Genomic DNA, 12,351 nt, shown 5'->3' with positions numbered 1-12,351 from the left:
GGCACCCAGTCTTGATTTCAGGAGAAATGGCTCTGTGCCCGATCAGCAGCACCCTTGCTCAGGACTGAGAGAGTGTGGTGGGGTTTTCTGGCCTCATCTGTTAGCCTGGGCCCAGAAGCACTAATTGCTTGGTGTTCAAATAACCTTAAAAAGTGCAGCTGGGCGAGGTGGCTCTTGCCTGTAATCCCAGCACTTTGGGAGGCTGAGGTGGATGGATCACAAGGTCAGGAGTTCAAGACCAGCCTGACCAATATTGAAACCCCGTCTGTACTGGAAATATAAAAATGAGCTGGGTATGGTGGCGCACGCCTGTTATCCCAGCTACTCAGGAGGCTGAGGCAGGAGAATCACTTGAACCTGGGGGGCGGAGCTTGCAGTGAGCCGAGATCGTGCCACTGCACTCCAGCCTGGGAGACAGAGCAGGACCCTGTCTCAAAAAAAGAAAAAAAAAATGAAAAAAAATGCAGTAAATACAGACAAAGCACTCCCGCTTCTCTCTTGGTCTGCGAGCAGACAGTTTATTGAGAGCCACAGTTCCCGTTTCTGTTTTGGCTGCTCTCAACCTTCTGAAAGAGGTGGCAGATGTGTAGCAAGAGCACGACTAACATAGATGACCGGAGCCTGGGCAAACAGTGAGTGGGGAGGAAGATGTGAGTCCTGGGGAAAGGGCAATAAATTGAGGCAGAGACCATAGCTTGGCTAGGTTGCCCTGGAAAGAGAGCGTTCCAGGTCTGAATCCTGCTCCAGAGAGTAAGATGAGACAATGTCAAACAAACCCTCCCGAAATTCAACCCAGTCCTCCGAATCAAGTACTGCAAGGTGCATTTCCACTGAATCAAATAAATACCATTAGCAATTTGAATTAGTTCCCTAAGATGACCCAATTCCCTAACATGAATTTCCTGGCCTGTGATAGCTGCCTTCATGCCCAGCAGGGCATGGAAGATACAGAAATAAAATTTTACAGAAATAAAATAGGTAAAAAAGTTAAAAGGATAAATGGTTACAGGAGCCTGGAAGAATAAAAGGTAAAGAATTAATGACGCAGATACCAGCAGCAGTTCCTGCAAGGGGCCTTCCCTGTGTGAAGGAACCCAGCTCTGAGCTCCTTGCCGCCTCTGAAAAAGAGCAGGAGGTTGTTTCACATCCTGAGCCTCAGCTTCCCAAGGACAACAAAAGCTACCATTTTCAGAATGACCATTGCACCCCAGGCATTTTCTCTATAAATGTCTATTACTTCACAGTTCATGATTGCACTGATTTCTTCAGTAAAAAATCTGAGGGTCAGAAAAATAAAGGTACAAAATCAGTAACTAGTAAGTTGTAGAGCCAGGATTTGAATCTGGGATCTGTCTGTGTTTGCCTCTCATCTTCAAAGTGAAGAACGAGGAAGAGAAAATAAATCCTTTTTCTCCGGGCACGGTGGCTCACGCCTGTAATCCCAGCACTTTGGGAGGCCGAAGTGGGCGGATCACTTGAGGTCAGTAGTTCGAGACCGGCCTGGCCAACATGGTGAAACCCTATCCCTACTAAAAATACAAAAATTTGCCGGGCATGGTGGCATATGCCTGTAATCCCAGCTACTCAGGAGGCTGAGGCAAGCGAATCACTTGAACCTGGGAAGCAGAGGTCACACTGTTGTACTTGACCAAGTTAGAGAAAACGCCACACTTTGAGACGAATTAAGAGTCTGTTTATTTAGCCGGCGGCCAAGAGACAGCTAACGCTCAAAGTTCTCTCGGCCCCGAAGAAGGGGCTAGATTTTCTTTTATACTTTGGTTTAGAAAGGGGAGGGGGGTCTAGTTAAAACAATTTTACAGAAATAAAATAGGTAAAAAAGTTAAAAGGATGAATGGTTACAGGAAAGTAAACAGTTCCAGGTGCAGGGGCTTTAAGACTATTACAAGGTGATAGACGCGGGGCTTTGGGCGTTATCAATCAGACTAATTCCTGGGAATTGCAGATATTGCTCGCCACAGTATCTTATCAGTTAACTGCATTCTTGGATGTGCTGGGAGTCAGCTTGCACAAGTTAAGTCCCTGAGGAAGGGGCTGCCAGTGAAAGAGCCAAGATGGAGTCTGTCTGGCTCTCTTAGCTAAGGGAGAGTCAATTCAGGTGGAAACAAGGCTAGGTGATTAAAGGAAAAGGGAGAGTCTAAAAACAGGGTTAGTAAAAACAAGGTTGGGCATTACACCACCACTGCACTCCAGCCTGGACAACTCCATCTCAAAAAATAAATAAATCATTTTTCTTCTACTCTTGTCTCTGCCTCCTCCCTAAACGGGTGGGAACCAATTCAGTGACAGGCTGGGGATTCAATGTCACTGGAAATAAAAGAAATTCAATTAAAATAATAACATACACTTTCCCCCACCAAATTAATAGACTAAAAAATTACAATAGAGCTGACAAGGTCACTTTTAAGTAACTCATGGAAAAATAACATGGAACGTCTTCTCTGAAGGACAATTTGATTAAATATATCAAAGCATTAAAAATGACCATTCTCTTTTAACCCAGTAATTCCATCTCAAAAAAAGAAGTATTCAGAGAAGCAAAGACTGCAGTTTTATGTCAGCCCATGAATAACCTGAAATAACCTCAATTCCCAAGAGGACAATTTAACTTGTCCTCTTCCTTTAAAGAGGACAAGTTAAATATGTTATGAAATGTCCACACAAAGGGTTATAATTTTTTCTTTTTTTAGATGGAGTCTCGCTCTGTTGCCCAGGCTGGAGTGCAGTGGCGTGATCTCGGCTCACCGCAACCTCCGACTCCCGGGTTCAAGCGATTCTCCTGCCTCGGCCTCCTGAGTAGCTGGGATTACAGGTGCCCACCACCACGCCTGGCTAATTATTGTATTTTTTAGTAGAGACGGGGTTTCAGCATCTTGGCCAGGGTGGTCTTGAACTCCTGACCTCATGATCCACCCGCCTCAGCCTACCAAAGTGCTGGGATTATAGCCGTGAGTCACCATGCCCAGCCACAATGGGTCACGATTGAACAATTAAAAATAAATTCATAAACATTTCTTACAGTTTTTACTTTTAAAACATTTATTCACTTACTTATTTTTAGAGACCGGGTCTCACTCTGTCACCCAGGCTGGAGGACAGTGGCACAGTGATAGCTCACTGCAGCCTTGAGCTCCTGGGCTCAGGCCATCCTCCCTCCTCAGCCTCCCAAGTAGCTAGGACTACAGGCACACACCACCACACTCAGATAAAGTTTTAAAATAAAAAATTGCACTCATAGAAAACTATAGAAAGTAGCAATAATGAACCACCATGTATCCGTTACCTAGCATCAACAATTATCAATTCAGGGTCAATAATGTTTTATTCATAGCCACCTATCCCTAAGTATTTTAAGTAAATCCCAGACATATCATTCCATCCATAAACATGTAATTATGTACCTTTAAAAAAATACGACCATAGTACCATTAAAAATAATTTAAAAACTTAAAAGTTTTTTTAATTATTGACTTTTTAACAAAACAGGAAAATGCTCACAATATAGATTGAATAAATAAAGAATATTATAAAACTATATACTACATAATCTTAGTTGAAAGAAAAAGGGAGGAAGAAAGAGGGGAGGTAAGGAAGCAAAGAAGAAAAGAAGGGAGGGAGGGTGGGCAATTTCACAAATAGAATCAAAGCATTAAAAATGTCCATCTTCTTTTAATTCAGTAATTCTATCTCCAAAAAAGAATTATCAGAAATGCTGCCAAAGACTGTAGTTTGACTTCAGTCCATGCATAACCTGAAACAACCTCAAATCCCAACAAAAAGGAATATTTAAATATGTTATGAAATGTCCACATGAAAGGAAGAGACAGAGAGAGAAAAACCAAAAAAGAAAAAGAGAAACGCATATTCACAGAAAAAAAAGACTTAAAGGAAATAAATCTAAAATATCGCCAGTAGTTTGTAGTTACCCATGTCATGAGATTTATGTTTGTGTGTATTTTTATCAAGGGGAATGTATTAGATATTTATTATTTCTCCTGCTCTTCTTTTGTTCCTCAAGTTTTAACTTTTCCTCTAGTACAGCTTCCCTTCAGGTTGAAAAACTTCCATTAGTATTTCTTTAAGAGGAGAGCTCCTGGAAATGAAGCCTCTTGGTTTTCCATCACCTGAAAATATCTCTATTTTGCTTTCACTCCCAAAGAATATTTTTTCTGGATATAAAATTCTGGGTGGATAGTTTTTTTGTTCTTCCAGCATTCTAAAGACGGGGTTTCACTGTCTTCGTCTTTGGCCACCATGGTTTTGGATGAGAAATGGACAGTCATTCGAATAGGTTTCTTCCTTCCTTCCTTCCTTCCTTTCCTTTTCTCTTTTTTCTTTCTTTCTCTCTTTCTTGAGTCCTTCCTTTCTTCTCTTTTCTTCCTTCCCTTTTCTTACGTATAATGTGTCATATTTTAATGCTCTTAATGTTTTTTAATCCTTGGTTTTTAGAAGTTTTCTTATGAGGTGGCTGAGGAGTTGTTATTAAATGTATCCTGTTTGAAATTACTGAGATTCTTCAATTTGTGAAGATACGTTTTTCTTTAAATTTGAAACTATTTCAGCCACTCTTTCTCCAAATATTTTTTTCTGCACCAGTATTTTTCTTTTTACCTTCTGAGATGGAATGCCAATACCAAGAAGTTTCAGCCTTTTGACATTGTCCCACAGTACCATGAAAGGCTTTTCATTTTTCTCCAATTTTTTTTTGTTTCATAATGTATATTTCATTGTGTATACTTTCTATTGATCTACCTTCAGGTTCACTGACTCTTTTCTCTGTTATATTTATTCCGCTACTGGGCCCATATCATCTTTTCAGGTCTAAAATTTCTATCTGATTATTCTGCAGTTTCTAGTTCTCTGCTGAGAACTTCTATCTTTCCTAATTTCAAGAACTTTCTAATTTCAAGAGTGGAGAATGGTCATACCTACTTTATTTGTCTAATAATTTCACGATCTAAGTCATTTCAGTGTTACTGCCTATTGAACTGTCTTTTCCTTTGAGTACTGTTTAGATTTTCCAGGTTGTTTTGATATTGAGTAAATTTGAATTGTATCCTGGATTTTTTAATATGTTGTGAGACTCTGAATCCTGTTAAAAATCATCTGAAAAATGTTTGTTTGTTTGTTTGTTTTACCAGGAAATTAATCCACTTAGGTTCAGACTGAAAGTACTGTCTCACTTTTTATGAGTGTTAGCTCCAGTGTCAGATCAGTTTTCAAAGCTTTTGGTATGCCATTTGAGTCAATCTGTCACATGCTCCATTCAAGAGTTTGTCTGGGACTTGGGTGGTTGTTAATATCATAGTTAGATTCTCAAAACCTCTTCTGTGCCTCCTGGGTCTGTTCCATGCATGCACACCTTGTAGTGTGCCCAGGACTTTTGTCAGTCCAATTTGTGGATCCCTTTTTCCACCTCTCTCCTCTCAGGGATTTCCTCACACTCTCTGGCTTCCAGTGGCTTTTCCCCCCTGCTTCCTCTAGTTAGAAAGATGGAGTTATCTCGGACTCTTAGCTTTCCACACTGTTCTGCAAATCCATGTTCATCGTGAGTCATTGTTCAAGTTTTGAACCCAGTACTCTGCCTGCCTGCTATTACTTTTCAGAGTTTTCATGTGGTTTTTTGCATCCTATTCAGCTTTCTGTTGTAAACATTGGTAGAGATTGTGGTTGGATTATTTCATCTTGGCTGTACTAGCAACTCATCCTTCTCAGCAATTTACTTCTCATCCATGTTTCAAAACTCCACTAAAATACCACTTCCTTCTAAGAAGCCATCCTTTTTCTCCCAGCTAGAAAACTTTCCTCTTCCTCTCATTAGGGAAGAAAGGGATTTGGCAATCTTGAGAATAAAACTTAAAGCCAAATTTTTTTCACGATTCTCTTTGTTCAAACATCTGAGTCTAAGGAGATGACTGGAATGAAATCAAACTTAATCAAGAAGCACAATGGTGGTTAAAAGTGGACTTTGGGGCCAGATTGCCAAAATTCCAGCTCTGCTAATTGCTAGATGTGTGACCTTAGACAAATCACTTACTTCTTTTTACCTCAGTTTCCTCATCTATGAAATTAATAATAATAATACTTACCACATAGAATTATTATGAAGATTAAGTGAGTTAATAGTTGTAAAGCACCTAGAAAAATGCCACACTGTAGGTGATTACTATGAATCTCTCACAGGTTGCCGTAACTCTACAGATGAGAGAACCCTATGCAGGGAAAAGGGGAAAGGAGCACACAGGGAATTGGCTCTATTTTCACCTCTTCCTATGTCCTGAAAGTGACCATAATTTTTGTTTTGATAAATACTTGAAAAAGCCCAATTTGTGTTCTGTGTAGATCTGAGAAGTCATGTGGCAGAGTGGGGACATGATTACATGAGGTAGGTTAGATCTGGCTTCCAGACTGGCTCTCCTTTGGGTCTAGGTTTTATGTTCTAAATCAGACCACAGAGGTAGACTGGTCTATCTACAAGGAGCCGACGGAATGATCTCTGTAAGAGGCAAATGGAACTGGGCCATTTCTCAGTTTATCCTCCAATGGTTCCCTGAAACACAGATAAAATATAAATTCCTTAGGCTGTCCCAGAAGACTAGTGACTTTTGCTGCTGCTGCTATCTGTAACCTCATTTCCTGCCACTCCCCAACAGCCCTCACATTGCAGCCATACTGAACTCAGGTTGGCTCACCCCACTTGCACCACTTCCCTCATCCTCAAGGTCAGATATCCCCCCACCATCTTGTCAAAGATGCCTATGTCTCCTCTTCCATGCAAGTTACTGAAGGGCTTTCCCAGACTCCCCAGGACCCTGTTGGTCGGTCCTTCCCTTCTGTGTGCTCCCACAGCCCTCTGACCATATTCTAGTAGCACTTTCTGGTTGACAGTAATCAATTATTTTATAGGTCCCTCTCTCCCTCGATACACCAGTGTTTTTCAAAATACGTATTATTTTACATCAGTGGATCTCAAAAGCAATTTGGGCACAAGGACCAGGTTTTTAAAAAGAGAATAAACAAGATTTTAAAATATCAGAATCCACTGCATGTAATAAGAGAAAGTAGAGCTTCATGAAACTTTTGTCTCAAATAGATCATTAGAAAGATGGATGACAGATGCCGGGCGCCGTGGCTCATGCCTGTAATCCCAGCACTTTGGGAGGCCGAGGCGGGCAGATCACGAGGTCAGGAGATCGAGACCATCCTGGCTAACACGGTGAAACCCCATCTCTACTAAAAAATACAAAAGTTAGCCGGGCATGGTGGCGGGCACCTGTAGTCCCAGCTACCGGGGAGGCTGAGGCAAGAGAATGGCATGAACCCGGGAGGTGGAGCTTGCACTGAGCCGAGATCGCGCCACTGCACTCCAGCCTGGGCGAAACAGCGAAGACTCCGTCTCAAAAAAAAAAAAAAAAAAAAAAAGAAAAAGAAAAAGAAACATGGATGACAGATAATGAACCCCACAGACCCATGACCAGTTTCAGTATTATCAACTCATGGTCAGTCCTGTTTTGTGTATACCCCACTTACGCCTACATCCCTAGATTTTGAAACAAATCCTGAACTCATCATTTCATTAATAAATGTTTCAATATATAAAAACCTTAAAAAAGAAAGACCTAAAAAAAAAACTGCAATACCATAAAATGTACTTCTTATTGATGGTGGCAGTCAAAAACGTTTGTAAGACTTAGAAGCTCCTAGGGAGAGATGCCACCTCATTTATCTCTGCATTTTCATGCCCTGGCACTCAATAAGTGCTGAGTAATGAAAGGAAGAAGAGGAGAAAGAGAAAGGATAGAAGATAGAAAGGTTGTAAAAGGGAGAAGAAAGAAAGATGATTTCTTCTCTTTTAGCTTTGAATCATCTTGAAGTATTTTCAATCAATTTCTCTAAAGGAAAGAAACACCAATTTAGCTTCCTCATCAATAATTAATTCCTGAATAAGTAAGGTTTCTGTATTTGTTGTTTTCTCTCTGGGATGTCACATATGACTGTACAAGTTGTTCACTGCATAATGGCATCTGGTACTGGCTGAAAGGGCATCCTTTCTTAATAGCACGAAAGTGCCGTATAAGCTAACAGGACATCATTCTCGCTCCCGACTCTAGTGTATTACATATTGCTACCTTGGTCCACTCTGCTGTTTTCTTCCCTTCCTCCTACACTGCCTATGGAGGCTACAAGCAGGAGATTCTTCCTGGGCACCTGGAGGTATCTTCTCAGTAATGCTTATAAAAGGCCATCTTTCTATAGAAAAACTTTGGTATCAGAAGCAGGACCTCTCTCTTAGGAAAAGTCCTGGGCTCTGGGGCTGGCTCTGCCACTTGCTAGTCATAGGACTTTCAGATAGTCTCCCTGTGTTAGTCTGTTCTTCCATTGCTATAAATACCTGAGATTGGGTAATTTACAGAGAAAGGAGATTTAATTGGCTCACAGCTCTGCAGGCTGCACAAGCATGGTGCCAGCATCTGCTCACTTGCCGGGGAGGCCTCAGGGAGCTTTTAGTTATGGTGGAAGGTGAAGCAGAAGCAGGCACATCACATGGCGAAAGCAAAAGCAAGAGGCAGTGGTGGGGAAGGTGCTACACACTTTGAAACAACCAGATCTCATGAGAACTCACTGTTGTGAGGACAGCTCCAAGCCATGAAAGATCCACACCCATGACCCAAACACCTCCCAGCAGGCCCCACCTCCAGCACTGGGGGTTACATTTCAACATGAGATTTGGTGGGGACATATATTCAAACCACATCAATCCCTGAGGCCACATTTCCTTGTATGAAAGTAGAAATAATAGCTCTTCTGTCTCTTTCTAAGAACCCTTACGAGGACCAAAGGAAAAAAAAATGTTTTGGCAATAATAAAGTAGCATAGGGATGTAAGGAATATTTTATTAATGATGTATGGTTATGTCCAGAATGGTAGTTCCTAAACTTCACTGCTGTCTGACGGATTTTCAATTATCCTTCTCCTAAAAATTCTCCATTATAATTCTTCAAAAGCAAAATTTCACAAATCATTGGAAAATATATCTTATATACTGTTTACAGTAGCAAAGTATCCAATGCCAAGAAGCAAATTTAATTAAAGATAGGCAAGACTTTTTACTGAAAACTACAAAACACTAGTGAGAGCAATAAAAGATCTAAATAAATGGAGGATATATACCATGCTGATCAACTGAAAGATTCAATTTTGTTAAAATGTCAATTTTCCCCCAAATTGATGGTGATGGCTGATTTTATGTGTCAACTGGACTGCGCCACAGAGTACCCAGATATTTAGTCAAATATTCTGGGTGTTTCAATGAGGTTGTTTTGGATAAAATTAGCACTGGAATCAGCAGGCTGAGTACAGCAGATTGCCCCCTCTCTAACGGTGGGCCTTATCCAATCGGTTAAAGGCCTGAATACAGTAAAACAGGCTGACCTTCCCACAGGTAAGAGGGAGCTCCTCCTGTCTGACTGCCTTGAGCTGGGGCATTGTTTTTGCTGTTGTTGTTTTGGTTTGGTTTGGTTTTGGGGTTTTTTTCCCCCTGCCTTTGGACTCAAACTGAAAGGCCTTAGGCCAACTGGCATTTGCACTAGAACTACGCCATTGGCTTTCCCTGGTTCTCAGGCCTTTGGACTCAGACTGGAACTGCACCATTGCTGCTCCTGGGCCTCCACCTTGCCAGTCGCAGATCTTGGTAATTGTCAGTTTCCATAATTGCATAAGCCATTGTTTTATTTCTCTTACTAATGTTTTATATTCTTCAGTAAAATGTCTTGCCTATCTTTAATTAAACTTGCTTCTTGCATTTGATATTTTGCTACCGTAAATAGTATACAAAATATACTTTCTAATAATTTGTGAACCTGTGCTTTTAAAGAATTATAATGGAGAATTTTCTGGGTAAGGGTAATTATGCACACACACATACATGCTATTGATTCAGAATCATCTGAATCAAGGGACATTTCAGAACCCTTTCTGCTGATACGCCCAGAGTTGAGATTTTACCCAGAAACAGAAACAGACAAATCACACAACTTTCCTCACCCCAAATCCTAAGCAAAGGTAATTGGCACAGACAGGAATTGATGAGATGTTGGCAGAGAGGAGATGCTTAGCGGCAAGAAAGCCACAATGAACCTCCCAGCCAATGCCTCACAGAGTGCAAGGCCATGTAAAAAATGAGGGAAAGAAGTCCTTGGCATTTTCCAGACATAATGACTACATTGACTTTTCCTGAGGGAAAGTTGGACAGACCAGGGAGAGGAATGAGCTGTGCTCAAGGGTCTTTTGGGTCATTTCTTTGCATTTCCTAAAGAATATGTTTTTTACCTTATCATGTAGACAACTTTGATCTGTGCTGCTGAGCATAAAGAAACATTTGATAGCTTCCATAAACCTGACAGTTTGACACTAAGTGTGGGAGGGAAATCACTAAACTAATAAGTATATGAAATATCATCCCTTCTTTGTGGAATTATGAGCTCATTCATCTCCAAAACAAAATTACATTAAAAGCTTCAGACACACGAAAATGTTGATTTGCCTCCCATTTGTTTCAAGATGGCCTTAAACCTAGAATGTGGACTTAAAAATACACCATAACAGAAAATATGGTCAGATCTAACAGCTAATTACAACACCAATATAAGGCAACAAAGCTCTCTCTTTGGTAGAGTAGAAAATAAAGCTAAAAACATTGTTTGTTTGTTTTGTTTTTGGGTTTTTTTTTTTTTTTTGAGACAAAGTCTCACTCTGTTGTCCAGGCTGGAGTGCAGTGGCGTGATCTCGGCTCACTGCAACCTCCGCCTCCCGGGTTCAAGCAATTCTCCTGCCTCAGCCTCCTGAGTAGCTGGGATTACAGGCGCGCGCCACCACACCCGGCTAATTTTTGTATTTTTAGTAGAGACGGGGTTTCACCATGTTGACCAGGCTGGTCTCAAACTCCTGACCTCGTGATCTGCCCGCCTGGGCCTCCCAAAGTGCTGAGATTACAGGAGTGAGCCACTGAGCCCGGCCGTTTGTTTGTTTTTCATTACATATATGGTGGGCCCTTTATGTGCAGGACACTGTGTGAAATGCATTTTCTCACTTAAACCCCTAACATGATGCTGAAGTAGATGCCATAATCCCATTTTACAGATGAAGCTGAAGTCCAGAAAGGTCAGCCATTTGACCAAAGTGGGCCTCCAGAAAGCAATGGAAGTGAGATCCAAACCCAGGTTTACAACAGTTATTGAGCACTACTTATGTGCCAGGCACTGATCTCAGCACTTTTCAAGTATTAACAGATTTAATCCCCACTGCAATATTACAGGGAGACATTGCTGTCACCTGATTTTAGATGAAGAAATGAGGCAGAGAAAGGTAAAATAATTTGTCCAAAGTCACACATCCCTCTGATTCAATGCCTGAGACAGATCTATGTGCAGTGGAGGGTATGGAAAGTGACATGCAGGTCATCCCTTTCCTCGGGCTGTGGACATTTCAGAATGTCCAGGGTTCGGGTAGGAACACTGAGTTCTACCTCGCTTCTGTGCCACTGTGGGAAGTTGAGGCCAAACTTAGTGAAGCCACATGGCCAGCTTGAAACCTGTGGGTCTTCGGGTTTGGCTCTCACCATTCATCTGCAAAGAAAAGCTGTGTAACCCACCTTCTCCCGAGGAAGGCACCTTTCTGCCAACAATGGCCTCACCTGACACTCTGGTCAGTTACACAAGCACTGTTCTAAAAAGCATCTGGGGAAGTACGCACAAATGCATGGCCCATTTCTACTCCAGTTAAATTTAGCAAAACTTTGAGTAAATTTTCACACCCAATGCTGGTGATTAATAGCAAAACAGTTGTGCTCATGTATCACTCATGGCTGGGAAAACAGAAGTGAAACCTTACGAAAATACCTCAGAACAACCAACAATAGTTGAAAAACAGAAAAGAAACATAAATGTGTGGGTGCCTACTGTAGCATCAAATGTAATGCTGAGAAAATTTGGAACAACCTAAATATCTAGCCATAGGAACAAGCAAAATTGTGATCCAGAAGTCCATCGATTGCCTATGAAGCCATTAACAAAAGACATGCACTATAAAGATGAAAAACAATGTTTATAGAAACAAAATAAACTTTTTTTTGAGCCAGAGTCTCGATCTTGTCACCCAGGCTGGAGTGCAATGGCAAAATCTTGGCTCACTGCCACCTCGGCCTCCCGGGTTCAAGCGATTCTCCTGCCTCAGCCTCCCGAGTAGCTGGGATTACGGGCACCTCCACCAAGCCTAGCTAATTTTTTTTTTTTTTTTTTGTATTTTTAGTAGAGATGGGGTTTCACCATGTTGGCC

General features: G+C 41.3%; 1 protein-coding gene across 2 annotated transcripts in view, besides 3 other annotated features; it reads right to left on the bottom strand.

Moving 5' to 3' along the window:
* The window catches only part of ST6GAL1 (ST6 beta-galactoside alpha-2,6-sialyltransferase 1), a 148,028-nt gene that overhangs the window by 65,844 nt on the left and 69,833 nt on the right, over nt 1-12,351 (bottom strand). The gene's annotated exons all lie outside the window — the stretch shown is intronic.
* Nucleotides 11,481-11,600: an enhancer, noted in NCBI's record as "active region_20954". NCBI's record gives its function as "activates an Ori minimal core promoter by ATAC-STARR-seq in GM12878 lymphoblastoid cells {active_cell/tissue: GM12878}" and the evidence as "EXISTENCE:reporter gene assay evidence [ECO:0000049][PMID:35858748]".
* Nucleotides 11,741-11,790: an enhancer, noted in NCBI's record as "active region_20953". NCBI's record gives its function as "activates an Ori minimal core promoter by ATAC-STARR-seq in GM12878 lymphoblastoid cells {active_cell/tissue: GM12878}" and the evidence as "EXISTENCE:reporter gene assay evidence [ECO:0000049][PMID:35858748]".
* Nucleotides 11,801-12,020: an enhancer, noted in NCBI's record as "active region_20952". NCBI's record gives its function as "activates an Ori minimal core promoter by ATAC-STARR-seq in GM12878 lymphoblastoid cells {active_cell/tissue: GM12878}" and the evidence as "EXISTENCE:reporter gene assay evidence [ECO:0000049][PMID:35858748]".

Source organism: Homo sapiens, chromosome 3 (assembly GCF_000001405.40).
Source record: "Homo sapiens chromosome 3, GRCh38.p14 Primary Assembly".
NCBI classification, from domain to species: domain Eukaryota; kingdom Metazoa; phylum Chordata; class Mammalia; order Primates; family Hominidae; genus Homo; species Homo sapiens.
The sequence above is the reverse complement of the archived record's forward strand: the minus strand, read 5'-3'. Positions and strand labels throughout refer to the sequence as shown.